Genomic DNA, 22,901 nt, shown 5'->3' on the forward strand with positions numbered 1-22,901 from the left:
TGGAGGAGACCTCCCCAGCGCTGAGGCCTCTCTGGAGTCTCAGTGTTGGCAGGACATGGCCAGGACTTGGTCCTCGAGGGAGCGTGGAACACAGCCGAATTCGGCCCGGAATTGGGGGTCACGGATGCCTGGGAGGGGCCTGCAGGACATAGATGGATAACTATGAGCTGTCCCTGCTGAGCAGCTGGTGGGGAGGCCACCTTTCCACCCGCCCTCCTGAGAGATGGAGGGGCTTTGGGGTGGGCCCTTGCCTTGGAGAGTCTGAGCTCCCTGGGCCGCCTCGCCCCCACAGGTTGGCGCTGTACGTTTATGAGTACCTGCTGCACATCGGTGCCCAGAAGTCAGCCCAGACCTTCCTGTCTGAGGTAAGCCACCACCTCCAGGCTGGCCCTCCCTCCTCACCCACACTCCGGGGGTCCTTCATTTCCACTGGGGATCCAGGGGGTGGGCCCGCGTTGCCCCTCTGATGGCCCTGGGAACTGAGGGCTCTGCAGGGTCCAGGCCCTGGGCTAGCATCCAGGCATCTGGTCCACATGCCCAGCCGGGACCTGCCACACATCCTGGGGCCCTCTGCCCACCCTGTTACCCTTCCCTCCCCACTCCCTCCCTGCCCAGATGTTCTCTGGGCACCCTGCTGGGTGGTGGGGCAGGGTCAGGTAGGGCCACCCCCTCACCACCTTCCTTTCCCTGCAGATCCGATGGGAGAAGAACATCACGCTGGGGGAGCCCCCTGGGTTCCTGCACTCCTGGTGGTGGTACGGGCTGGGCTGCTGTGGGTGGGCTGTGGAAGGGGGTTGAGGGAGGCACGTGGAGCAACCATCTTCCCCTTTGGCCCACAGCGTCTTCTGGGACCTGTACTGCGCGGCGCCTGACAGAAGAGAGGCCTGCGAGCACTCCGGCGAGGCCAAGGCCTTCCAGGACTATGTGAGTCCTGGCCCCAGGGACTCAGGGGCTCCAGGGCGGGAGGTGTGCTGGGCCTGTGGCTGGGGAGGTGGGGTGGGGGGCTGCACAGCCAGAGGAGGGCTGGGGATGGTGGCAGTTTGGGGTTGACAGGCAGAGCTGCAGCCTCCACTCAGGCTCTTGGCCACTTTTGGGGGGTCCTTCCACCCTCCACTTGGTCCAGGGTCACTCACAGAGTAAGGGAAAGCTCTTTCCACTGCACACACTTCTGAGGGTCCCCACAGCCCTCCCACCCCCATTGGGGCACTGGGGGGTGCCATTTCCCCGCATCTCATGTGAGCCTGCGTGGAGATGGGGGAAGCTCACTGCCTTCCCCCTCCTCTGCCGTGTGTGCATTGGGGGTCACTGCTGCTCCTCTGAGCGGGGAGCACAGGTCGGGGTGCCTGATGGGCCAGGCACTGGGACACTTTCTGACCTTGCCAGGTATCTGGAGCTGCCCACTCCCTCTCTGCTGTCATTTTCCCTCTGGGTTGGAAAAGGTCAGAGGCCGGCCTGGAGTGGAGGCTGCCTGGCTAACACTAGGGGATGGCAGCCTCCTGTTGTCATGGGGCAGCAGATGGCAGCCCTTCCCTTCATCCTCTGCGCTGGACCACCTGGCCCCCTCTGTTGGGTCTGAGGGGGAGGTGCCGGCTCTGCCGGTGGGCGTCTGGGGGGCGCCAGTCCCGCCCACCCCCTACCCCCTGTGCGCCAGAGCGCAGGCCCCAGCAAGGCAGAGGCGGCCCGAGGGGTGGGGCGCCCATGTCTCTGAAGATGCCTCCAGCACTCTGCATGAGAGCTGGGCAGGCTGAAGCCCTCCTGGCGTCACTGCTGTTCACCCCCATGGTGTCCCACTACTCGTGTGTGGTCCCCTTGTCCTAGTCCCGCTAGATCTGGGGCCCCGGGGGTGTCTGGAGCTGTGGACTTGGGCGACTCTGCCCCCATCCCTGCCGTCTGGGTCTAGCATCCTCTCTGGGCGCCCCCCGCCGGGCCAGGAGGGCGGAGCTGGAGAGTCGGCGTGAACGCGCTTCCCAGGCGCGCAGCGGTTACCATGGCAGCGCCGGCGCAGAGCGTAGACCGCAGGGCCCAGGGCGGAGGCCGCCCAAGCCCTGGGGTGACCGAATCCCCGCGGGGACTCGTCATGCCGGGCCGTCGCCTCCGTTGCTCTCGCTCTAACTGGGGGCGCCTTGCCCGCCGAGCCTGCACGGAGGCGGCCCCTTCCTCTCTCGCCCTCCGAGGCGGGGGAGGGGGGCGGGGGGGGCTCTGTTCGCCCCTCCCCGGCTCCCTGCCGACCTTGGCGTCTCCAGGAAACGCCGGAGCGCCCAGCCCATCGCCATGGCAACGCGGGCCGGGCCGGCTCCTCTTCAGGGATGATTGACGTAGGGGGTCTGGCCCGGGCCAACCGCCGGGGAGGGCGCGCCGCCCGGGATTAACTGCTCAGGGCCTAGAGTTGGGAAGCTGCGGGTCGCAGGGGGCGGGGGGGGGGTGCGGTGGAGCGTCCCCGACCAGGAAACGCTCAGGCACCCGCTGTGGCCCGTGAGGGGATTGCCCTCCCTGCGGGGTGGACAGACACAGGGCTCAAAGGTGCCCCCTCCCCACCCTCGGGGAGTGGACCGGAGGGGCCGCCTGGGAGGGCAGCTGCTCCAGGCCATTGTGTTTGCGGGAGGGGGCGGGGTGGGGGCCAGAGCCCAGAGGGGACCTGGAAGTTTGGAACTGAGAAAGTGGCACAGGAGTAGGGCACGAGGGCTTTCGAAGGATTTGTTTTGGGCCTTGGGAGTGCTCGCCGTCACGGTGGGCTTAGGGGGCTCCCGCCTCCAGCCCCTCCCCCAGTTTAGGACCCTGGCGGGAGGCTTGAGGCTAACCTCAGAGAAGGGGCAGGAAGGGGTCAACCCGCAGCCCCACAGGGGGAGGGAGGATTTCTCCAGGAGCCCTCCTCTAGGCAGGGGGCCCCTTGCAGCAGTCCCTGAGGGCAGGAAACGCTGTGTGACTGTAGGCAGAGTGCTCAACCTCTCTGAGCCCAAGTGGCTGTAGTTCATGCCACAAACACCTGAGTGTCCCTGTGTGCTGGCTTGGGCCGACCCCAGAGAGAGCCCATCACCTTCTTTTTGGGGTTTGGGGCTTGGCCTGGACCATACAGACAGGGGCCAGGAGAGAAGTTCTCCCCTCCCTGTCCCCAGACGTGTTCCTCTGCCCTCATAGACTGGGCCTCCCTTCCCACCTCACATCCCCCTCCCCACCTTCCCCCTGCCAGACCCTGTAGGCCCCATAGCAGACAGGTCTAGAACTTGGTCCCCGGCCAGGTCTGGGCTGCCACCACAATTTCTGGCAGATACAGGAAGCCCCCTCTCCAGCACCCTGTCTTGTCGCCTTCTCCATCTGAGAGAGGCTGGGGGATGGGGACCCCACCCCAGAATCCTGCTTTTCACCCTCCCTCCTGGACGAAGGGCAGGGTGGGGTGGGGCAGGGGTCTACACTTGTTCTAAGGTGGAGCCTTCAGGGAGGCTCTTGAAACTGCCGGTATATTTGTGTGTATGTTTATTTGGGGGGTCCTGAGTAGAGTTGGGGACCCAGCTGAGCTGCCCTGCCAGCCAGGACGATGCAGGGCCAGTTGAGATGGGTCTGGAGTGGGGAGCAGGTCTGTGAGAAACGAGGGCGACACTGGATCCTGCGTCCTACAGGGTCTTCAGACCCACAGATCCTCAGGCCGACAACCCCAGTGTGCTCACTGACCAATGCCAGCTCGCTGTCCCATGGGGCCGGCCACCTGCAGAGAGGGGGGGCACACCCCAGGTAGGAAGTGTCCAGGTGTCCTGACCTGGCCCTCTGGGTTTCCCGCACCCTTACAGAGTGCTGCAGCCGCCCCCAGCCCCGTTATGGGGAGTATGGCCCCAGGTGACACAATGGCCGCAGGCTCCATGGCGGCTGGCTTCTTCCAGGTATGGCCCCGGCTGGAGTCCACTGGCCCCCAACTCTGGCTGAACATGCGTTTGAGGGTGGGGGGGGTCCCACGTGGGCAGAGGTCATGAGGCCGGCAGGCTGGAGTTGGGTGGGAGGGTCCTCTGTGCCGCAGGTGTGCCCAGGTGGGCCTTTCAGGGGCCAGCGAGGGAGGGCCCGAGTGCAGTGGAGGGTGGGTGTCTGTGCACTTGGCCTGCACATGTGTGCGCACAGGGTGCTTGGGGATGCAGTAGCCACAGTGGTCCTGGTGACCACTGGTGCCTGAGTCCTGCCCTCAAGCCTTCCCACAAGGTCCCTGTCCCACAGGCTGGCCCACCCCTCTGCCTCCATGGAGCCCCTCCCCTCCTCAGCCAAACCCAGTAGGGCCTCACTCCCCCCCACCCACCTGGTTCTGTCCTCCTAGGGCCCCCCCGGCTCCCAGCCGTCCCCCCACAACCCCAACGCCCCCATGATGGGGCCTCACGGTCAGGTAAGGAGCTGTGGTGCCTGCCCCTCACACACACACATCCCCTCCCCCAGCGCCGCCCCCTCCCACCCTCAAGCCATGAGGTCCTGGCTGGTGCCAGCTGGCCGGGCTTTGCTGGCTGGTTCTGGAGGAGGGGGCTCCCCAGGTCGGGGGCCCCAGCATAGCAGGAATGGGGTAGCTTTGGGGACCAGAGGGTGGGGGAAGGTGCTGATCCCCGCCCACCTCTTCCAGCCCTTCATGTCACCGCGCTTCCCAGGGGGCCCCCGGCCCACCCTGCGGATGCCGAGTCAGGTGAGAAAGGGATGAGGGGAGGGCGGGCAGGAGCTGGGCCGGGGAGGGAGCACCCCACACTCAGTGCCGCCGCACCCCCTCCGCAGCCTCCCGCAGGCCTCCCTGGCTCCCAGCCCCTCCTCCCTGGCGCCATGGAGCCCTCCCCACGAGCCCAGGGTGAGTAGGGAAGCTCCAGCCCCTATCCCGCCATCAATCAGAATTCCAGCTCTCAGAGCCCAGACCTTGCTGCCTCCCCACTGTCCACACTGGGGAATGGTCCAGGTCCAAGTCCCCTTCCTTCTGCCCCACCCCAGGGCATCCGAGCATGGGCGGCCCAATGCAGAGGGTGACGCCTCCTCGTGGCATGGCCAGCGTGGGGCCCCAGGTAAGAGTGGAGCCCTGGTGGGTGGGGCCTTCGGGCTGTCCCCGGTCTACCCCTCACAGCCCCTTTGCCTCCGCAGAGCTATGGAGGTGGCATGCGACCCCCACCCAACTCCCTCGCCGGCCCAGGCCTGCCTGCCATGAACATGTAAGACCCTGGGGGATCCTAGGAGTGTGCAGTTCGCAGGCCACCACCAGCTTCATGGCTGGGTCAGCTGGGGCAGGTCCTGAATCCTCAGGACAGCCTTGGATATTGTTTATTTCATGGCCACCGTTGAGGGGAAACTGAGACTTGAAGTAGCAATTAGTCTCCTGGGGCCAGTGATGGGTTGGGATTGGAACCTGGCAGCTCATGGTGGCCACTTTTCCAGCAACATCTGCTGCTCTGTGGTCGGTCTGGGGATACAGTGGAGCAGGGTGTGGGGGGTGTGTGGTGAGGGCTGTGATCCACATGGACTAGCCCCAGAGTCTGTCATCCGCGGTCTCTTCCAGGGGCCCAGGAGTTCGTGGCCCGTGGGCCAGCCCCAGTGGAAACTCGGTGAGCCTATGGCTGGGTGGGCAGGCTTGGGGTGGGGTGGGAGGGACACTGGGTGAGCCGCCTGGCTGACTGCTCACAGCTGCCCTTGTCCCCAGATCCCCTACTCCTCCTCATCCCCCGGCAGCTACACCGTAAGTCTGAGCAAAGCTGGGTCACCCCTGGGCAGGGGTTGTGGGATGGCAGATGAGGGGCCATTTCTCACGGTTCCTGTCTCTTGTGTGCAGGGACCCCCAGGAGGAGGTGGGCCCCCTGGAACACCCATCATGCCTAGCCCTGGAGGTATGGCCTAGTAAGAGGTGGGGGTGTGCTAGGGTGGGTGTGTTTGGGGGAAACCCCGTCACACCTGGCACCCTTCTGGTCTCCCCCAGATTCCACCAACTCCAGCGAAAACATGTACACTATCATGAACCCCATCGGGCAGGGCGCCGGCAGGGCTAATGTGAGTGGGGGCTTGCAGGGGTGCTTCTCGAGGCGGTGACCCCACTTGGGGAATGGGTGGCCCGAGTCCCACGCTGTCCCCATGCCCGCAGTTCCCGCTCGGCCCTGGCCCGGAGGGCCCCATGGCCGCCATGAGCGCGATGGAGCCTCACCACGTGAACGGATCCCTGGGTGAGTGGGCGTCCCTGCTCCCGCCCACGTTGCCTTCCGGGCCCGTGCGCTCCCTGGCTGCTTCCCCCTGCCGTCAGCCCGCCTGCCGGGTGGAGGCGTCTAGTGGCGTCCTGAGCCCCCCGGGGGCCGCTCAGTGACAGGGGCTGCCCCGAGCTGGAGGGGGATCCAGCGACCAAACCAGAGGATGCACTGACCGCCCCTCCCCCCCAGGCCCAACCCTCCACCTGGCCTCAGTCCCGGGGTTCCTGGCGGGCTGTGCGGGGCGGGGGCGCGTCGGCGGGGGCAGCTTGCGAGGGTCGTTGGCCCCTGGAGGCCGAGGGGCATGGCGCCAGCACGTCTGAGCCGGTGCCCGTGTCTGTCCGTGTCTGTAGGCTCGGGCGACATGGACGGGTTGCCGAAGGTAAGGAGGCTGCGCTCTTGCCGGGGGTGGGATCCGGGGGGGGTGGCGGGGAGGGGGCGGGGCGGGGAGTTGCGAGCCGACGGCGGCCGCCCCCAGAGTTCCCCCGGCGCCGTGGCCGGCCTGAGCAACGCCCCGGGCACCCCGCGGGACGACGGCGAGATGGCGGCCGCCGGGACCTTCCTGCACCCGTTCCCGAGCGAAAGCGTAAGCGACTGCGTCGACTCCCCCCCCGCGGCGGCGTCGGGCCGGAGGGGCTGGCGGGCAGGCCCCGGCGGGGCGGCCGGGGGGCCAGAGCAAGACCGTGACCGCGGCGGGCCAGGTGGGGGGGCGGCCGCGGCATCCTTTCCCTCTCCTCAACCTCTCCCCACCCCCCACCACCTCCCGCTCCTATTTCACCGTCCCGATCCCATCCGCCCCCACCCCGGGACCCGCGCCCCAGGGCGGCCTTCCCATGCATCGCCCCTCCCCCGTTCCCTCCTGTCCCCACCCCATGTCTGCCCAGGACCCAGCCCTGCCCTGTCCCCCATTGTCCCTGGGGGCGGGTCCCAGCCTCTTCCGGAGCTGAACTCGGCCCCTGCGCGCTGCCCCCTCCTCTCTCCGCAGTACTCGCCAGGGATGACCATGAGCGTGTGATGGGGCGGCAGCCCCGGGCCTCTCTGCGGGCCTAGGCTTCTGCCCAGCGCCCCTGCTCAGGGCGAGGGGCTGAGGTCACACCTCGGGCACCTGGACTCCTGGCCAATCAAGGCTTGCCCAGCTGGGAGGCCCCACACGAAAGACTCTTACCATTTTATTAAAAACGCAAGGACCTCAGAGACGTTCTTTTCTGTATGGACCCTTCCTGCCATTTGTATTTTGTCCCAGAGAGAAAGGCTCTTTGGGGGGCCCCTCTCCCCAGGACGTCAGGGGGTGGGGCCCATAAATAAATGGAAGCTGGTTTTGGTTTTTGGTAGCTTGTCTCAGATTCCCTCTTTGGCCTTCTGCCACCACACTCTCCACCCTGTGGTCTTGTTCCGTCCCCGCCCCCATCTAGCCCCACCTTTGAGAACTGGGGGCAGAGCGAGGCTCCAGGTTCTGGGCTCTCCCTGGGAGTTGGGGTGATGACCATGGGCAGAGGGGATGGGACTGAAGCTGGGCGCTCAAGAGTCGGGGAAGTAGAGGGAGGCAGAGTCAGGTCACAGGCCCCAAGAACCCCAGGTGGAAGGAGGGCTGAGTGGCAGCGCCTTTATTTGTGGGGGCCTTCAAGGTAGGGTCGTGGGGGGCAGCGGGGAGGAAGAGCCGAGAAACTGTGTGACCGGGGCCTCAGGTGGTGGGCATTGGGGGCTCCTCTTGCAGATGCCCATTGGCATCACCGGTGCAGCCATTGGTGGCAGCGGGTACCGGTCCTTTCTTGTTCAACATAGGGTAGGTGGCAGCCACGGGTCCAACTCGCTTGAGGCTGGGCCCTGGGCGCTCCATTTTGTGTTCCAGGAGCATGTGGTTCTGTGGCGGGAGCCCCACGCAGGCCCTGGAGAGGTCACACAGCTTAGCAGAGCCAGACACCCACAGGGAGAAAGGGGGGGTATCCCTGCCACCTACAGCCCCCCAAGCCCTGTGCATAGCTTAGCCAGGGGGGTATCTGGGCCCCGGGCGGGAACCTGGAGGCTGGGGTGCACCTGAGGATGTTCTCGATGCAGCTGCGCTGGCGGAAAAGCGCATTGACCACCGGGCTGCCGGGCGGCACTAGTGGCGCCTTGAAGAGGAAGCTGAGCAGGGACAGCACGGGGTGGAAGGTCTGCGGCTCGGGGTCCATGTCAGTGCAGAAGCTCACGCGCTGGCACAGCTCGGTCAGCAGCGCTAGGTCCAGCATGATGGGTGCGGCCAGCAGCGAGTCCTGCGGGGCGGGTGGGTCAGGAGATGGGGGCGGTGGCCAAGCCCTGCCTCCCATAGCAGCCCCTGAAGCCGCGCCGCACCTCACACGTGTTGTGCAGCACCAGTGTGTTGGTTCCGCCCAGCATCAGCTCCGAGGTATACTCATCCAGCGCGCGCTTGCTGTCACCCACGTACGGCACATACTTGATGACCACCTGGAGTGCAGCAGGAGTTTGCCCGGGTCCCTGCCACCCCTCGCCGGGCAACCCCGCGCCCGCGCCCGCGCCCCACGCACGCAGTGGTCAGGCTCTTCGCCGGGCGTATAGAGCACTGGGTTGCTCTGCACCATGTCGTCCACCACGTTGCTCTTGGACACCTCCTTAGAGCGGAACTGCAATGGCGCCGATAGGTTCTCCCCATCGTTGTTGCCCAGGTGGTTGTAACTCACGATGGACATGGTCTGTGGGTACAAGGGAAGCCCCAGCAGCTGCAGGCCCTGCGGCCCCACAAGCCAGGTGCTCGCGGCCCAGGCCCCCTTCCTGCACTCGGCAGCTCCCTAGGCCCACGCACCTTGAGGCCGGAGCCAATGAGGAAGTCCACAAGCACGGACTTGACTTTGGTCTGGCCTGACTTGAAGTCATCTCCGCCCACAAAAACCCGGTGCTGCCACGCGAGCTCAAGAGCTCCGGGCACCAGGGTGTTCTGCGGAGACCCATTGAGGAAGGCACAGCCCTCCAGGATGCTGGCCACGGCGAAGAGCGTGGAGGGCGACACCTCCAGACCGAGCTGTGGGCAAGGCGGGCAGTCAGCACAGAGCTGTGTCTGTGACTGGCCCTGCCTGACCCGCTCCACCCGGGCGTTCGCCCACCTCAATGGTGCGCAGCAGGTTCTCGGCTGTGTCGTTGAGGCCTGGAATCACCTCACAGAAGCGCTCCGTGTTCGCCGTCCACAGCACTATGACTTTGTCCAGCCCCGCGCTAGACCGGAAGTCTCGGATGTCCCTGCGGATCTGCTCCAGCTGTGGGTTGGATGGTGAGGGTGTGGGGAGGATGGAGAGGGTGTAGGGAAGTTGGTTGTACATACTCTCGGACTCACAGAGGCCTGGGCTACTCAGTTCCCCGGGTGTCAAGTGAGGCCTGGATTCGCGGGGTGGGGCAAAAAGAGGGAACCAAGTGGCGAAGAACAGGTGGCAGGAAGCAAGGGATGCGGGATGGGACAGCACCTGCTGCGCACGCGAGCCTGGGATGAGGTTGTCCGCGCGCGCGCTCTGGTTGGCCGCGATGAATTCGGGGATGTAAACAGAAGGCCGGGGCCGCAGGGCCTCCATGTGCGGCCACAGTTGCTCCTGCAGCCCCCAGTCCAGCACCTTCGCGCGCCGCATCGCCTCGGCCAGGTTCAGCGACGAGATGTCCCAGCCTGGGGGGACCCTCACACTCGGCCCTGCCCGGATCCTGGGCCCCTCCAGACCCCATCTCCCATCCCGCCCCACCCCGGCCCAGGGCTCCGCCCACCATCGAACACGAGGTCGTTGGGCGCCACCATGGGCAGCACCGCGCTGAAGGGTACGAACACCTCCTGGCCCTCGGCGTCCAGGCCCAGGCTCACGGTGCCCGCCTGAGTCAGCGAGCCGTAGTAGTTGGCCTCCTGGGGGTCAGCAGACACGGCGAGGTGACGGGTGGGAGTGGTGAAAGGGCCGCGACCCGGCCTGGGCCCCACCTAGACTCTCAAGCCCCGCCCCACTTTCGGGCATTTTTCAGTTCCAGGCTCACAGCCAGGACGGAAGCCGCTGCCCCCAGGCCCCTCCCCTGAGACCTCCGGCACCTTAAGCTCCGCCCCTGTAAGACTCCCGAGGAGTCCCCGCTACCTCGCGAAACCCTTCCACGGGGTCCGCCTGCAGCCAGGCCCCGCCCCCTGCAAGCCCTCCCGCCCCACAGAGCTTCGCCCCCTGCAGGTCCCTCGCCCACTACAGGCCTCCAGACCCGGGCAGGTCCCTCGCCCCTGCAGCCCCTCGCCCCGCGGAACCCCACCCCCTACAGCCCCCCTGGTCCCGCAGAGCCCCGCCCCCTGCAGGCTCCCGCCCCCGCCCGCAAGGACTCCCACCAAGCCTCCCTACCCACCACGCCCCTCCCGCCCCCACCTTGCGGCCGCTGCGCGTGGGCCAGGACAAACGCAGTCGATTGGCCAGCACCGCGGCGGTGAGTGTGGAGCCGTTGTTCCCGCCCCAGCCGACAAGCATGACCCCGAGCCGGGGCACCTGCCGGGCGGTCCGGAAGGTGAAGCGCGTGGACGTGGGGTGCACCTGAAGACAGGCCGCGCAGTGAATCCCGGGTCCCGTGCCCTTCTCCCCGAGCCGCCCCGCTCTCCCCAGCACGCCTCCTTCCTCAGCCCCCTGGTCCACCTTGAGAACGCCACCCTCGCGGCTGACGCGCGTCGTCCGGTACTCGTATTGCGCCTCGATGGCCTCGGGGCCGTAGACCACGTCCGGGCTCTCGACGAAGAACTGGGCGGCGGCCTCCATCGCGGCGGGCTGGGGGCCCGGGGTGAGCAGGGGGTCAGCGGGGACTCTAAGCGGCCGGGGCCAAGCCAGCCTGGGTCCCCACGGAGGCCGTCCCTGCCCCGAACCGCACTCACCGGCGCAGAGTCGACTCAGGCAGCGGCGGCGGACAGCGCGGGCTCTCGGGCGCGCGACCTCCGGAGAAAAGCGCTGCGGCCCCTCCCCCGCCCCGCCCCCTTCCCCGCCTCTCCCGCGCTGGGAGGGAGGGGCCCAACGTCTGGAGACCCGGTTCGAGGCCCGACAACCCAGAGCCACCGTGGCCATCGGGTCCCCGCCTGGCGGAAGTGGCCAGGCGTCCACGAGCGCGGCGCGTATAGGTTCACCTCGCTCGCTCCGCAGCCCCCAGGGGCTCATGGCTGCCTATCCCCCCTTTACAAGAGGACAATGAGGCTACACATGAGCCCAGCCACAAGCCAGGGGGTGGAGCTGGGCAGGGAAGCTGGGCCTCCGGGGGGGTAGGTAGGGGGTCTGGGTCAGAGACACTGCAGGGGAAACAGGCAGAGGACCAGAACTCCAAAGCCAGAATCTCCTCGGAGCCACACTGCCACCTACTCCCCCTTCGTGGGCAGCAGCACCTACCAGGCAGTCCCATCCCCTGGCTCCCCATGTCCGCCCCCATCCATCTCGGGGGACAAAGTCACTCTGTCCCCACGGGGCTCACAAGGATGGGGCCTGTTTGGCCTGTTTCCCCACCTGCAGCAGGAGGGCTTGGCAGGAGTGGGCCGGAGCGGGAGGCTGTTCGCTGGAAAGGGGAGGGGACGCACAGGCGGGCAGGGCCGAGGCAGGGGAGGAATGAGGCCTGCACTGCAGGGCGCCCCCCTCATGCGCGCTGATAAGGGAGCGTGGGAACCCAGCGGGCAGGCCGGGGCAGCTCCCCCAGGAACTTTCCAAAACAAGCGCCTGGAGGCCGGAAAGTTTCCACCACTGGAGCTGGCCCAAAAGGTGGATAGTTGGGAACGTTTGCAAGAGACAGGGCCTGACCTTGGAGGATGAGGGCTTAAGACTCTGGGTCCAGGCCTCACCCTGAAGGGGCCCCAGTCTGAGGGAGTTGGAAGTGGACTGGGACACCCCCGCCCCAGTGGGTGGGAACTCACAGGCAGGGCCCCTGCAAGACAGGCTCCCCAGATGAGGGGGCTGCTGGCAAGGGTTTTGAGACATGAAGAGGAGTTCACTGAAAGAAAACTACAGGCCAAGCCACCTGAGCCACCCAGACAGGGCAGATGAAAAATTGGCTACGTGGGAGGCAGTTTGGGGTCTTGGGCAGACCCTGAGGGCTGGGGATAGGGAGTGTGAAAGAGTATTTGGTGTTTGTTCCTGGTTCTTGGTTAGACATTGAGCTCAATCACCAGTGGCCAACGATTTAATCAATCACATATATGCAAATGAGACAGTTGGGGCTCAGAACACAGAAACTCCCCTCAGCCTCAAGTTATGGGGCCTTGGCCTGCCCCGCGCTTTGAGCAGGGCATCGGAAAGCTCAGAATCGAGTCTCTCCGACCTTCTCCTGCCCTCCTGCCTCTAGCCCCTTTCTCCCCTGGAAACCATAGAAACCAGAATTCCTCTTCCCCAAGGCAGGTCAGAGACACTGGAGCCCTTCTCCCCTTAAAACAAAAAAAAAGCCACAAAGCCGGCAAAGGTCACTCTCTGCCTGCTCCCTTGAAGACCCTCATTCCGGGAGGGTCCTGCCCATACCCTGGAGGAAGGAATGCTACCCAGAGTCTAGGAAGTCTGGGCAGGCTGGCCCCCCTCCCCCACCCAGTCTGCTCCCTTTAAGATCTACAGTGTTTCAACACATTGATACACATTCTTCATAGAACCTAAGCCGAAAAATAGGCAGTCAGCCAGGCACGGTGGCTCATGCCTGTAATCCTAGCACTTTGGGAGGTCAAAGCGGGCGCATCGCTTGAGCCCAGGAGTTTGAGACCAGCCTGGGCAACACGGGGAAACCCCGTCTCAATACAAACAAACAAACAAAAAATAGCCGGGCTTGGTGGCGCACACCTGTAGTCCAGCTGCGTGGGAGGCTGAGGTGGGAGGATCACCTAAGCTCAGGAGGTGTAGGCTGCAGTGAGCCATGATTGTACCACTGCACTCCAGCCTGGGCAACAGAGTAATACCCTGTCTCAAAAAAAAAATGGGGTTTAGGGGAAAATATGGAGGGGCTGGGAGGGTGGCATGCCTGGAAAAGGCATGGAAGCTTCACGGCCCGCCCATACCTTGCCCTGTGCGCCTCCTCCATTTGGCTGTGAGCATTTTCCGGAGTTCTGTGAGCTGTTCCAGCAATTATCAAACCTGAAGTGGGGTCATGGGAACTCGCAATTTATTAGCCTGCTTGCCAGAAGTATAGGTGGCATCTGACACAGGTGCAGCCCTGTGGGACTGACCCCCATAACTTGTGGAGTCCGATACCATCTCTGGGAATGGAACTGTTGGACATCCTGTAGGTACTGGAGGATCAGAGAATCGGGGAGTTTGTGCCTCGAGGCGACACGTGATTCAGGAACCTGTGTAGTTGAGAGACATGAGGAAGGTCCCAAGACCCAGCCCCGGGGAGCCTGTGTTCACAGGGCCACCTGTAGAGGGTGCCGGAGGATGGGAGCTGGCACAGGGCAGCTGGAGGGAATCGGCATAGAGGCTGGGCTGCTTCCACTCCCAGCAGTTGACAAGGCCGAAGGAGGGGGTTTGGCCCCTACAGTCAGGCCTGGGTGTGCTGAAGTCGGTGGTGAGATGCACTGTTATTCCCCAGCAAAGTGTGGGCTCCCTGAAGGCAGGGATGAGGCTGAGTCACTGCTGTGTTGCAGAGCCCAGGTGGAGCTTGGTACAGGAGGGGGCTGCAGGAACAGGGGTGCCCGTTGAAAGAGGACAATTGGGGCCCCTGGCAGGTGGCAGGAGAGGGTTTAACAGCTCTGAGCCCCTCTCTACCAGGGTGCCCAGGTCATGAGGGTGGGAAGGCTCTCCTGAATATCCGGGGCACTAGACTGATGGCATCCATGGCTCAGGAAGGTCAGGGGACTGACTGTGGCCTCTGCAGGCTGCGGGGGTGATGGCCAGAGTATTGCTGGGCAGTTGGCTTAGGGCTGGCGTTGGAGGGCCGGGGGAGGCAGGACCGTGAGCTGCAGGAGGTTGGTGTTGGCCCTGGGATGTTGGGACAGAGATGTTATCCTGGGAGAACAGCGTGGCCAGGCTATGCTGGGAGCAGGGTACACGCTGCCCCACTGGGCTGCATGACTTCCCCTCCCGCGCCCCTCAGATTCCTGGGTGGCCTTAGAACTTGGGCCAAGGCCACGGACGGGCAGGGAGGCCAGGCCCCCCCCACAGCTGCAGGCCCAGGACCTTTGCCCACGGTCCTATTCTTCGGTGTTATCGCTTACTAAATGCACCCCTTCTTGTCCTTGGCTGGCAGGTTGAGTGTTATGTTCTCCATGGCCCCTGGCTCGTTCCACCTGCACCACCGCCGCTCCCGTCAGGCCTTTTCCCCATCCCCACTAGTGGCACAGGGGATGCCCCTGCCCCAGTGTGGGAAGAACAGGTAATATTACCGTTACCTGCTGCTGCTTTCATCAGAGGGAGACAGTCACAGCTGGTTTCCCCCACCCCCAGCCCCACTCCTGTAGCCTTTGGTGCCACAGGGGGCCAAGGAATCCCAATGCTGGGTTCAGCCCACCCTATCCACACCAGAGGGTACTGCTGTGCTCACACACCTGCTATGGCTCCCTATCCCTCCGCCCTGACCCAGCCTGCCCCCACCCCCGCGCTCCCCGTCACCTACAGGGCCCTCTGATTTGGTCCTTTCTCAGGCAACGGCTCAGGTAGGCTGCAAACTCTGCCTTCTTATCTGGTCCCAGCCAGAGCCCCTGAACAACCCTTTCTCATCATTATGGCGGCCCCAGGTCACATCACCTCCTGATGCCAGCCCACCCCCAACCACAGGACAGGGACAGCCACCACAGAAACCAGGCTGTGACACACCCACACACTACACACACACCCACACCCCAACACACACCACACACCCAACACACACACCCCCAACACACACCACACCCTCACACCACACACACACCTACACACCCCAACACACACCACACACCACCCAACACACACCACACCCTCACACCCCAACACACACCACACATCCGGTCAACACACACCAACACACACCACACCCACACCAACACACCCCAACACACACCACACCCACACACCCCAACACACACCCACCCTCAACACATCCCCAACACACCACACACACCCCACACCACACACCCCAACACACACCACACCCTCATACCACACACCCAGATACACCACATCCACACACCACACCCCAACACACACCCACATCCCAACACATACCACATCCCAACAAACACCACATCCTCACCACACACATCCCCAACACACACCACACACCCCACACCCCAACACACACCACACACAACACACCCACACATACAACACACACACCCTAACACATCACACACACTACACACCCACACACAACATCCAACACACACCGACACAGATATACTACACACCCACACACCCCAACACACACCACACACACATACACACCATACACCACACACACAGATACACCAACACCCACACACCACACACACCAGCCAGGCAGCCTGGGCTGCCAGGTTCAGTTCAGTGAAATTTATTGGAGAATGAAAAAAGTCAGCATTCACCTGTTTAGTGTACAAAAAGGACACTAGATCTTTTAAGAAAATATCAGGAAACTGAAGACGCAGATAGATGCCTTTCAATTGTAACATTTTGGCAAAAGTGGAAAGTTCTTGTAAACACCAACCCCATGGCTCAAAATAGTTTTTCTCCACAGTACAACATTAAAAGAAAAAAAAATAGTATCAATAAGTTAGACCATATTTAATCAGCTAGAACTTTGTCCACCAACCCCCAAAACACAAAACTTTTCTTAGCTTCATAATTCCTTAAAAGGAGAACAAATAAACAACAAAAACAACAACAACAACAAAAAGGCAAATTCAACTGACAGCCCCTTGGACTGGTTCCCAGGGCAGAGGGGCGGGCAGTCCCGGGCTGGGACCTCCTGAAATCATCCCACCTCACCGGTGTCTGCAGGGCTGCCTGCGGGCGACACAGCAAGGTCCAGCTGACTCTGGAGGCCTCCTGGAGCCTGCTCGGCCCTTCCCCGGCCCGGCCCGGCCCAAAGAGAAAAACAACAACAGCTATTGAAACATGAAGGATCAGTTTCCTCGGAGCTCTGGGAACCCGGGGGTCCCAAAGGAGAGAGACTCTCGGGCAGGGGTGGGATACACTGTGGGCCCTCCACAGTCAGCTCTTTGGAAGCTGTCAGGAGGCACCCCTCCACCCCCCAGTTTAGAAAAATAGACATCTGTATTTTTGCATTTCTGTTCTCCCTGCCTGACTGCTGATGGCAGCAGTGACCCCCATGTGATCCCTGGGCCCTGAGTCACAGCCGCCATCCACCCCCCACCACCTTTCCAAGTCATGGCTTCATTCAGCCCTAAATGGGAACACACGCCTCAGACCCCACCATGCCCTGGGGGGTCCCCACATACGCACACTCACACACCCACACTTGCGTGGCCCCCCGATGCTTTGGGGGACACTAGACTAGGCACAGCAACAGAGCAGCAATTGGGGTGTCTGCAGAGCCTGCACCCCCAGAGCAGGCAGACCCATCCTCCTGGCTCCCCAGCTCTGCCCATGGGTCCCTGGGGCCTCCCTGACCCCATGGCGCCCAGCCCTCCATCAGCCCCTCCCTGAGTGCAAACCTTGGCGGTGGCTCTGCTAAGACGACCCCAGGACCCACAAGTGGACAGAGGGACGGAGGGAGGCCAGCAGCATCGAGACCACAAGGTCTCAACAGTGTGGAATGAGCAGCAGCAGCAACAAATGGGAAACCGAGGACATCGCAAAGAAAAGTCTGACGCCGCTGCGGCCGAGTCTCAACTTGGAGCACAGAAACACAGTGGCCCCCGACAGCTGAGGGCCTGAAATAGCAGGGCAGGCCTGGGGGCGCTGAAAGCCCTCTGCCCCCTTGGCTCTGAGCAGCTGTCTGGGGGCACCAGCTGGAGTTCTCAAAATAGCCACCTGGGCCACCCTGTTTGCTTGCTGGAGCAGAGACCCTGCCCAAGGAGGAGAGGCTGGGGAAAGGGGTGCCTAAACGTAGAGCCAGAGACCAGCAGAGGCCACCTGCCCATTCCCCACGCCCTCAGAACGCAGCTGCACCTTTCGACGACCTCTGTAATACTGCAGGCAGGACCCAGGGCAGCGGCTAGACCCTGGGTGTCCGAGGAGAGGGAGGCACAGGTTTAGAAAAAAGATTTTGCTTCTCTTTTGTACAAAAATAGACTCAAGTCTCATTAGCAGTAGCTAAAAGTGGCTGTCTTTGTATAAAACTAGAAAAGGCAGGCGCGCCACCCCAAGGGCCTAGGAGTCTTCTGGCGAGACAGGAGGCTGAACCCCGGAGGCTGCAGCCAGGGAGGAGGCAGTGGGCTTCCTGGGGAGCCCATCATAAGCAGGGACTGCTCAGGAAGCGCAGGGAGGGCCGAGGTGGGCTTGCAGCCACCCGCCAGGGCCAGACGTCTGCAGGGGCTGCCCTGAAAGCCGGCGGTGCTGGCTCAGATGAGCATCTTCCTCGGGTTTATTTTTTTAAATAAATCCTCTCTCACCGCCTTTTGCTCCCCCGACCCTCCCAGATCCCCGCCATCGGGGAGGGCGGCTAGGGCCAAGCCTGCAGCTGCCGCTGGTCGTACTCGGCGATGAGCCTCTTGATGTGGGCCAGCTTGCTGTGCAGGTACTCGCAGCGGTGCTTCTCCTGGCTGTAGTTGGTGTTGGTCTGTGGGACAGCACAGTCATGCTCAGGACAGAGCCGCCCTGGGTGCTGCTCCCCGCTGTAAGCAGGCCAGTGTCCCCCCCAAACCAAAAACCTGGGCTTGGTGCCCAGCAAGGAGGGTTGTGGTCCAAGGGCAGAGTGGGAGTTGGTCCCCCGCACCTCCACAGCTTGTGTGGCTGGGCCAGGATGCCACAGCTGAAGACTTAGCTGGGGGTGGTGGGGCAACTTTGGCCTCAGACTCAAAGGCTCTTCCCCCACACCTTGGAAGTAGCGGGCAGGGAGGCTGCCCCGGGCCCACCCTCCTCCCTCCAGCTCCCATGGCTCACTTGGAGCCCACCCCAACACAAGAGACACTCACCTTTTTGATTTTTCGATATTCCTGCAAAATCTGCCCTCGAGTAGTCTAGAAGAAAAACAAAATTTTGAGAAAACAGAATGTGTCCCCGCCTACAGGAAACCCAAATTGAGTGGTCCCAGGTGCTCTGAGAAGGGGGCATGGGAGGGTGGGGCAGCCTCAAGGACAAGGCCAAGTAACACCCCAGGGGCCCACAGCGGCTGTAGCTCCGGAGTGGGTGGGGCATGAGGGAAAGGCTGCCGGGTCCCCTGGAGGCAATAGCAGGTGGGGCACTGCTGTTGTGGGGGCGTGGCAGGACAAGGAAGTATCCATGTCGTGGGGGGGTGGGGAGGGGGTGGGGGGGTGCAGCAAAGAGGGAGGGAAGGGGAAGGAGAGATGCCCCAAGAACCCGTGGCTCGCAGCCCCTAGAACCCCATCATGAGTCGTCGTCTTTGGAAGGCAAAGGGGCCTTGGCCAGGAGAGACCCCGGCATCTGATTAATCAGGGCCCAGCCCTGTAGTCAGGTCACCAGTTCCGAAAGGTGGCAGGTGGGGCGGCTACGTCCAAGGCTAGGCTAAGGGTGGAGACTCTCTGTATACACAGGGCAGCTGAATGAGCTGTGAGCTCAAGCCAGGGGACCACAGGAGTCCTGATTCCCAGGACCACAGGGACCTGTCACCTCCCCCTGCTATAGTTGTGGCAGCATGGATGGGCCCCAGGGTGCTGGACAGAGCTCAGCTGCGGAGTCTCCTGAGGGTTTGGCACAGGTACCAAGAGCCCTGTGTCCTAGGCTGTGAGAGGACCCCAGGCGCTCAAACATGTGGGGATCCATGTACCCCGGCTCGCCCCCATCCAAGGAGGTGGGTCACAGCTGTCCCCACTGCAAAGGAGGCTGACAAGCTGGGCTGCCTTCAAGGACTCCCACAACAGGACCCCAGGGCCGGGCCAGAACCATGGGGTTGCTGCATGGAGTGCACCAGGGGGAGAAGCGCTGCCTGGGGAAGGGCCAGACTCTGGGGCCACCAAGCTCGTGGTGGCGATGGTGCGCGCCCAAGTGGGCCCTGGCTCCCGCCAGAGCCAGGGCACAGTAGGCAGCGGGGGGGCTCTACCTCATACTCCTCGGAGCCCTGGGAGAGCTGCCGGAGCTGGGCGTCGAGCTGGGTGAACCGCCGCGTGATGCGCTCAATGCGGGCGTGCAGGTCGCGGTACTCGCTGTACTCGGCATTGAAGTCGTTCTTGTAGCTCTGGCGCTGCTCCGAAGAGGAGATGGCTGCGTACTTCCTGAAACAGGAGAGAGGGGCCACTGAGTGGAGGCTGGAAGGACCCAGCCCCACCCAGGAAGTGGCCATCCTGGCTCCACCGGCGGCCTGGCCTCTCGGGTGATTCCCTGGATTATGAGGGGGCCTGGCCCAGAAGAGGCTGCTATGTTTGGAATTCACATACTCAGACTTGCAGTGGCTTCTACCTCTGATAACCTGCAGTGCTGGGGGAGGGGGTCTGAACCCAGAAAAGGGAGGCCTGGCCTGCAGGGCCCAGACAAACACTCACAGCAAGTAGTCAGGCGTCTCCGACGTGGACGTGGGAACACTGGAAACGCTGCAGGTTCCGTTTAAACCTACGAGAGCAAACACATACCTCCTGAGTCTGCGCCCATGGCACCGGTCGGCAGGAAGCACGCCAGGATGGGGACATGCATGAAAACTGTACACTTTGCTGCTGGAGGGACATAGAGGGATAGCAGAGGGGATGACTGTGTGGCAGGTGCAAGGGCTGAGCCCCTCGCACCTGGCAACTGTGGGCTGCTGGACCTGGGCGTGCCCTCCAGGTGGTGAGCAGAGCTCAGCGTGCACCTGCGTGTCCAGGGCAAAGCCCTGCAGGACACAGAGCACCCAGGCATCACCACAGTCACATTCTTGGCAAACAGCGGACAGGTCAGGGAACTGCAGGGCCAAAGCCTGCACAACCGGTCAGAGCTTCCCCCAGGCCAGGCCCTTGCTGCCTCCACTGACTGCATGTCAAAGGTCACTAAGCTGAAAACAAATGACCCCTGGCTTGACCTGAGTCTCTGGGGCATCCCAGTCTCTGGCCAGACAGGACAAAGACAAGATGGCCAGCAGGGCCTGCATCTCTTGCTGCTGACAAAGTTCCACGCCCTTGGTCTGTGCCCCACCCAGATCATCCCGTCCTTTCCACTAGACACTGAATTGCACGCTCCACAAGGCAGCTCCAGGACAGGGCCAGCCAGAGGAGCCCATGGGCCACCCCAATCGGCCATCCATGAGCAAAGTGTCCATGATGACGCTCAGCCCTTCGCCCCTTCAGGGGCCTGCCCAAAGCAGCACAGCTGATGGCTAGATGGCACCCCAGGCAGCTGTCCTGCTCCTGAGCCATGTGGTGGGGTGCCCCGGCCACATAAGACAACACCCCTGAGGGTCTGGAAATCAGGGAGGGGAGGGGCAGGAAGACTGAAGTGCGCGTCGCCTAAGACCACAACTACAATTTAGTGCGTTTTCTAGACCTTCTTGCAGTGGCTTTCTTTCCGATACAGAAATGATTTTATCAATTTCAGATGTATCCTCAATACACTTTTTTTTTTTTTTTAGAGACAGGGTCTTGCTCTGCCACCCAGGCTGGAGTTGCAATGGTGCGATCATGGCTCACTACAACCTTGAACTCCTGGGCTCAAGTGATCCTCTTGCCTCAGCCTCCCAAGTAGGTGAGACTACAGGCATATGCCACCATGCCCAGCTAATTACAAAATTTTTTTGTAGAGATGGGGTCTCACTGTGTTGCCCAGGCTGGTCTGAAACTCCTGACCTCAAGCAATCCTCCTGAACTGGCCTTTCAAAGCGTTGGGATTAAAGGCATGAACCACCACACCTGGCGAATTTTTTTTTTTTTTTTTTACTTTTTAGTAGAGATGAGGAGGCTTGCCTATATCGCCTAGGCTGGTCTTGAACTCCTGGACTTAAGTGATCCTCTTGACTTGGCCTCTCAACATGCTGGGATTATAGGCGGAACCACTGTGCCTGGCCCTAGTGCACATTTTCAGGGGCCCTCTGCACTATCCCCTGAGAGAGCAGGAGTCTGCGATCTCCAGTTTGCTGAGCCCTCTCTCTCAGTGTAACACACCTGGGCTGACCACAGCAGCTTCTCTGCTGCCAAATTCCCAAAAGTGGACGAAGCTCACTCCCCACAAAGTTTCTAACACTCCCCACTTTGGGCCAGACACTGTCTTCCATATCACCACCACCCCCACCTGGGTTGTCTTTAAGAGGCTGTGGCCTTCCCAGGGACGCAACTCAATGGGCATGTATTGAATGGGTCTGACCCTGGTCCGGGCCAGAAGGAAGTGAGAGGCAAGGCGCAGCTGCGAAGGCCAAGCCCATGCTCCCGCCACGCAGTGGACTCCGTGGGTATTCTACAACAGATAACTGCCATGTGTCAGGCTGGTCAACATTACCTCATTTGACATGCCCCAAGATCTTCACCAGCTAGGATGACAAACGGGGAAATCAAGGCTCAGGGTCAGCTCAACCTGGTACCAGTGGGACCTTCAAAGTCCAGCCCTTGGCAAACCTCAGCGGCCCCCGACTCCTACTCAAGCTCTGGCTGTGTGGGGCCGGCCAAGCTGGTCCCTGCTTCGGGGCCCCGGAGAACACCCCCACAGCAGCTCCTCTCCCCATCTCTCCCCTTCACAGCCCACGTCTCTCTACTTGCTTGTCCTGGGCACGGGCACAGGACAGCTAAGACATGCCCTGCACAAGTACCACCTTCAGGACTCTGGTAACATGGACCACCAGCACCAGGCTCAGCTTCTGGTGCCTCCACTGTCCTTTTCTTGGTGCTTGGGACATCTACCCCTGCTTTGCATTTTCTCACCTGTGGTAGAGATGACAGCCCCTGGGCCGGGGATGAACTGCCTAGGGGCCAACACGCACCAGGCCAGACAGGAAACCACCTTGAGTCCCCAGGCCTGTCTTGGCACCTAGGCACTGGGCATCCAAGGAAGGGACACAGCCCAGAGTGGTCTGTGGACCCTGGAGCCGGGCCAAGGGTCTCAAATGGCAGATCCTGCCATTTGATCGTGGCCCAGGTCTGGCTGTGGGGTGTGGGTGTGTCCTGGGAATCAGGAGTCCTGCCCTGAGCATGGCCCTGGTCAGAGAGGCTGCCCAGGGAGTAAGGCCACCTTCTCCCCGTCGGCCCCCACATGCAGTCCCACGGGAGGTGGGAAGCCCAGCACGAGGCAGGGCTGACCCAACCCCGAAAGTCTTCCTTCCTATCCAGTAAGACCCAGCCACAGTTGTGAGGACCTGCTCTCCAGCCACAGCAGGGGACGGGGCATGGCCCTCTGAGCAACGCAAAGCTATAATGAAAGAAGGGCTCCCACCCTCATCCCAGGAATCCCCTGACTCAGCCTCCTCCCCAGAGACACAACCCAAAAGCACAGCAGGTGACACCACCTGGGCTGCCCTGGGCCAGCTGGCGCCGAGAGCGAAGTGGCCATCTGCAACTGGCCGCCATCGCCACATGGGACCACTGCAGCCCCTGTCGCACATGGTGGTGGAACAGCCGCTGCACGCTGGCCACTGCTTCTGCTGGTTCCTATAAATGAACAGCTGCGCAGGCTCATGGCCACGGTGCTAGGCGGGTGCTACTGCTGCTCAGTTTAGGTGCCTGGGCTGTGGTCTCGGAGCCGCCCAGGTCTCCTGGCTCCCCAATCCCAGCCTGCCAGGCCCTGTCCCCACAGCAGAAACCTA

General features: G+C 62.6%; 3 protein-coding genes across 32 annotated transcripts in view, besides 16 other annotated features; 1 reads left to right on the top strand and 2 right to left on the bottom strand.

The window, feature by feature from the left end:
* SSBP4 (single stranded DNA binding protein 4) overlaps nt 1-7,504 on the top strand; it is a 31,838-nt gene extending 24,334 nt beyond the window's left edge. For 6 of the 21 annotated variants that reach the window (XM_047438368.1, XM_047438374.1, XM_006722665.5 and 3 more), the window contains exons 2-18: nt 293-365; nt 694-755; nt 840-924; nt 3,783-3,872; nt 4,295-4,360; nt 4,589-4,648; nt 4,735-4,804; nt 4,942-5,012; nt 5,089-5,156; nt 5,501-5,546; nt 5,642-5,677; nt 5,771-5,825; nt 5,915-5,985; nt 6,077-6,155; nt 6,527-6,555; nt 6,652-6,874; nt 7,159-7,504. In XM_047438368.1, the coding sequence (XP_047294324.1) occupies nt 293-365; nt 694-755; nt 840-924; nt 3,783-3,872; nt 4,295-4,360; nt 4,589-4,648; nt 4,735-4,804; nt 4,942-5,012; nt 5,089-5,156; nt 5,501-5,546; nt 5,642-5,677; nt 5,771-5,825; nt 5,915-5,985; nt 6,077-6,155; nt 6,527-6,555; nt 6,652-6,874; nt 7,159-7,223 (1,249 nt within the window). In that variant the 3' untranslated portion in view covers nt 7,224-7,504. Of the gene's footprint in view, nt 1-292; nt 366-693; nt 756-839; nt 925-3,782; nt 3,873-4,294; nt 4,361-4,588; nt 4,649-4,734; nt 4,805-4,941; nt 5,013-5,088; nt 5,157-5,500; nt 5,547-5,625; nt 5,826-5,914; nt 5,986-6,076; nt 6,156-6,526; nt 6,556-6,651; nt 6,875-7,158 lie in introns of those variants that run through there. The other 15 variants (XM_047438370.1, XM_005259790.4, NM_032627.5 and 12 more) reach the window with 6 other exon arrangements.
* Nucleotides 1,584-1,703: a silencer, noted in NCBI's record as "silent region_10396". NCBI's record gives its function as "represses an Ori minimal core promoter by ATAC-STARR-seq in GM12878 lymphoblastoid cells {active_cell/tissue: GM12878}" and the evidence as "EXISTENCE:reporter gene assay evidence [ECO:0000049][PMID:35858748]".
* Nucleotides 2,014-2,403: a silencer, noted in NCBI's record as "silent region_10397". NCBI's record gives its function as "represses an Ori minimal core promoter by ATAC-STARR-seq in GM12878 lymphoblastoid cells {active_cell/tissue: GM12878}" and the evidence as "EXISTENCE:reporter gene assay evidence [ECO:0000049][PMID:35858748]".
* Nucleotides 2,754-2,813: an enhancer, noted in NCBI's record as "active region_14318". NCBI's record gives its function as "activates an Ori minimal core promoter by ATAC-STARR-seq in GM12878 lymphoblastoid cells {active_cell/tissue: GM12878}" and the evidence as "EXISTENCE:reporter gene assay evidence [ECO:0000049][PMID:35858748]".
* Nucleotides 3,341-3,889: an enhancer, noted in NCBI's record as "H3K27ac-H3K4me1 hESC enhancer chr19:18541209-18541757 (GRCh37/hg19 assembly coordinates)". NCBI's record gives its function as "activates a minimal SCP1, AML or CMV promoter by ChIP-STARR-seq in naive H9 embryonic stem cells {active_cell/tissue: H9 hESC(naive)}" and the evidence as "EXISTENCE:reporter gene assay evidence [ECO:0000049][PMID:30033119]".
* Nucleotides 3,890-4,437: an enhancer, noted in NCBI's record as "H3K27ac-H3K4me1 hESC enhancer chr19:18541758-18542305 (GRCh37/hg19 assembly coordinates)". NCBI's record gives its function as "activates a minimal SCP1, AML or CMV promoter by ChIP-STARR-seq in naive H9 embryonic stem cells {active_cell/tissue: H9 hESC(naive)}" and the evidence as "EXISTENCE:reporter gene assay evidence [ECO:0000049][PMID:30033119]".
* Nucleotides 6,173-6,612: a silencer, noted in NCBI's record as "silent region_10398". NCBI's record gives its function as "represses an Ori minimal core promoter by ATAC-STARR-seq in GM12878 lymphoblastoid cells {active_cell/tissue: GM12878}" and the evidence as "EXISTENCE:reporter gene assay evidence [ECO:0000049][PMID:35858748]".
* Nucleotides 6,683-6,812: a silencer, noted in NCBI's record as "silent region_10399". NCBI's record gives its function as "represses an Ori minimal core promoter by ATAC-STARR-seq in GM12878 lymphoblastoid cells {active_cell/tissue: GM12878}" and the evidence as "EXISTENCE:reporter gene assay evidence [ECO:0000049][PMID:35858748]".
* Nucleotides 7,330-11,075, bottom strand: ISYNA1 (inositol-3-phosphate synthase 1). Of its 6 annotated transcripts, NM_016368.5 has the most exons (11): nt 11,035-11,075; nt 10,802-10,930; nt 10,541-10,702; nt 9,915-10,047; nt 9,626-9,819; nt 9,272-9,421; nt 8,974-9,189; nt 8,699-8,863; nt 8,505-8,618; nt 8,208-8,425; nt 7,330-8,059 (listed from the first exon to the last, which is right to left on the bottom strand). In NM_016368.5, the coding sequence occupies exons 2-11, from the start codon at nt 10,919-10,921 to the stop codon at nt 7,855-7,857; spliced, it is 1,677 nt and encodes a 558-aa protein (NP_057452.1). In that variant the 5' UTR covers nt 10,922-10,930; nt 11,035-11,075; the 3' UTR covers nt 7,330-7,854. The 6 variants fall into 6 exon arrangements, 4 of the variants coding, with proteins under 4 accessions (NP_057452.1, NP_001164409.1, XP_011526361.1 ...); NR_045573.2 differs by lacking the exon at nt 9,626-9,819; NM_001170938.2 differs by lacking the exon at nt 10,541-10,702.
* Nucleotides 8,475-9,372: an enhancer, noted in NCBI's record as "H3K27ac-H3K4me1 hESC enhancer chr19:18546343-18547240 (GRCh37/hg19 assembly coordinates)". NCBI's record gives its function as "activates a minimal SCP1, AML or CMV promoter by ChIP-STARR-seq in primed H9 embryonic stem cells {active_cell/tissue: H9 hESC(primed)}" and the evidence as "EXISTENCE:reporter gene assay evidence [ECO:0000049][PMID:30033119]".
* Nucleotides 10,300-11,287: an enhancer, noted in NCBI's record as "H3K27ac-H3K4me1 hESC enhancer chr19:18548168-18549155 (GRCh37/hg19 assembly coordinates)". NCBI's record gives its function as "activates a minimal SCP1, AML or CMV promoter by ChIP-STARR-seq in primed H9 embryonic stem cells {active_cell/tissue: H9 hESC(primed)}" and the evidence as "EXISTENCE:reporter gene assay evidence [ECO:0000049][PMID:30033119]".
* Nucleotides 10,313-10,452: a silencer, noted in NCBI's record as "silent region_10400". NCBI's record gives its function as "represses an Ori minimal core promoter by ATAC-STARR-seq in GM12878 lymphoblastoid cells {active_cell/tissue: GM12878}" and the evidence as "EXISTENCE:reporter gene assay evidence [ECO:0000049][PMID:35858748]".
* Nucleotides 10,933-11,152: a silencer, noted in NCBI's record as "silent region_10401". NCBI's record gives its function as "represses an Ori minimal core promoter by ATAC-STARR-seq in GM12878 lymphoblastoid cells {active_cell/tissue: GM12878}" and the evidence as "EXISTENCE:reporter gene assay evidence [ECO:0000049][PMID:35858748]".
* Nucleotides 11,288-12,274: an enhancer, noted in NCBI's record as "H3K27ac-H3K4me1 hESC enhancer chr19:18549156-18550142 (GRCh37/hg19 assembly coordinates)". NCBI's record gives its function as "activates a minimal SCP1, AML or CMV promoter by ChIP-STARR-seq in primed H9 embryonic stem cells {active_cell/tissue: H9 hESC(primed)}" and the evidence as "EXISTENCE:reporter gene assay evidence [ECO:0000049][PMID:30033119]".
* Nucleotides 13,620-13,739: an enhancer, noted in NCBI's record as "active region_14319". NCBI's record gives its function as "activates an Ori minimal core promoter by ATAC-STARR-seq in GM12878 lymphoblastoid cells {active_cell/tissue: GM12878}" and the evidence as "EXISTENCE:reporter gene assay evidence [ECO:0000049][PMID:35858748]".
* Nucleotides 13,900-13,959: an enhancer, noted in NCBI's record as "active region_14320". NCBI's record gives its function as "activates an Ori minimal core promoter by ATAC-STARR-seq in GM12878 lymphoblastoid cells {active_cell/tissue: GM12878}" and the evidence as "EXISTENCE:reporter gene assay evidence [ECO:0000049][PMID:35858748]".
* Nucleotides 14,753-14,802: a silencer, noted in NCBI's record as "silent region_10402". NCBI's record gives its function as "represses an Ori minimal core promoter by ATAC-STARR-seq in GM12878 lymphoblastoid cells {active_cell/tissue: GM12878}" and the evidence as "EXISTENCE:reporter gene assay evidence [ECO:0000049][PMID:35858748]".
* ELL (elongation factor for RNA polymerase II) overlaps nt 15,605-22,901 on the bottom strand; it is a 79,408-nt gene continuing 72,111 nt past the window's right edge. For all 5 annotated transcript variants that reach the window (NM_006532.4, XM_017027335.2, XM_047439479.1 and 2 more), the window contains 4 exons: nt 19,690-19,756; nt 19,251-19,422; nt 18,166-18,210; nt 15,605-17,810 (listed from right to left, as the gene is read on the bottom strand). In NM_006532.4, coding sequence (NP_006523.1) covers nt 17,694-17,810; nt 18,166-18,210; nt 19,251-19,422; nt 19,690-19,756 — 401 coding nt within the window. In that variant the 3' untranslated portion in view covers nt 15,605-17,693. The remainder of the gene's footprint in view (nt 17,811-18,165; nt 18,211-19,250; nt 19,423-19,689; nt 19,757-22,901) is intronic.
* Nucleotides 19,263-19,791: an enhancer, noted in NCBI's record as "H3K4me1 hESC enhancer chr19:18557131-18557659 (GRCh37/hg19 assembly coordinates)". NCBI's record gives its function as "activates a minimal SCP1, AML or CMV promoter by ChIP-STARR-seq in primed H9 embryonic stem cells {active_cell/tissue: H9 hESC(primed)}" and the evidence as "EXISTENCE:reporter gene assay evidence [ECO:0000049][PMID:30033119]".

This window comes from Homo sapiens, chromosome 19 (genome assembly GCF_000001405.40).
Source record: "Homo sapiens chromosome 19, GRCh38.p14 Primary Assembly".
Lineage (NCBI taxonomy): Eukaryota > Metazoa > Chordata > Mammalia > Primates > Hominidae > Homo > Homo sapiens.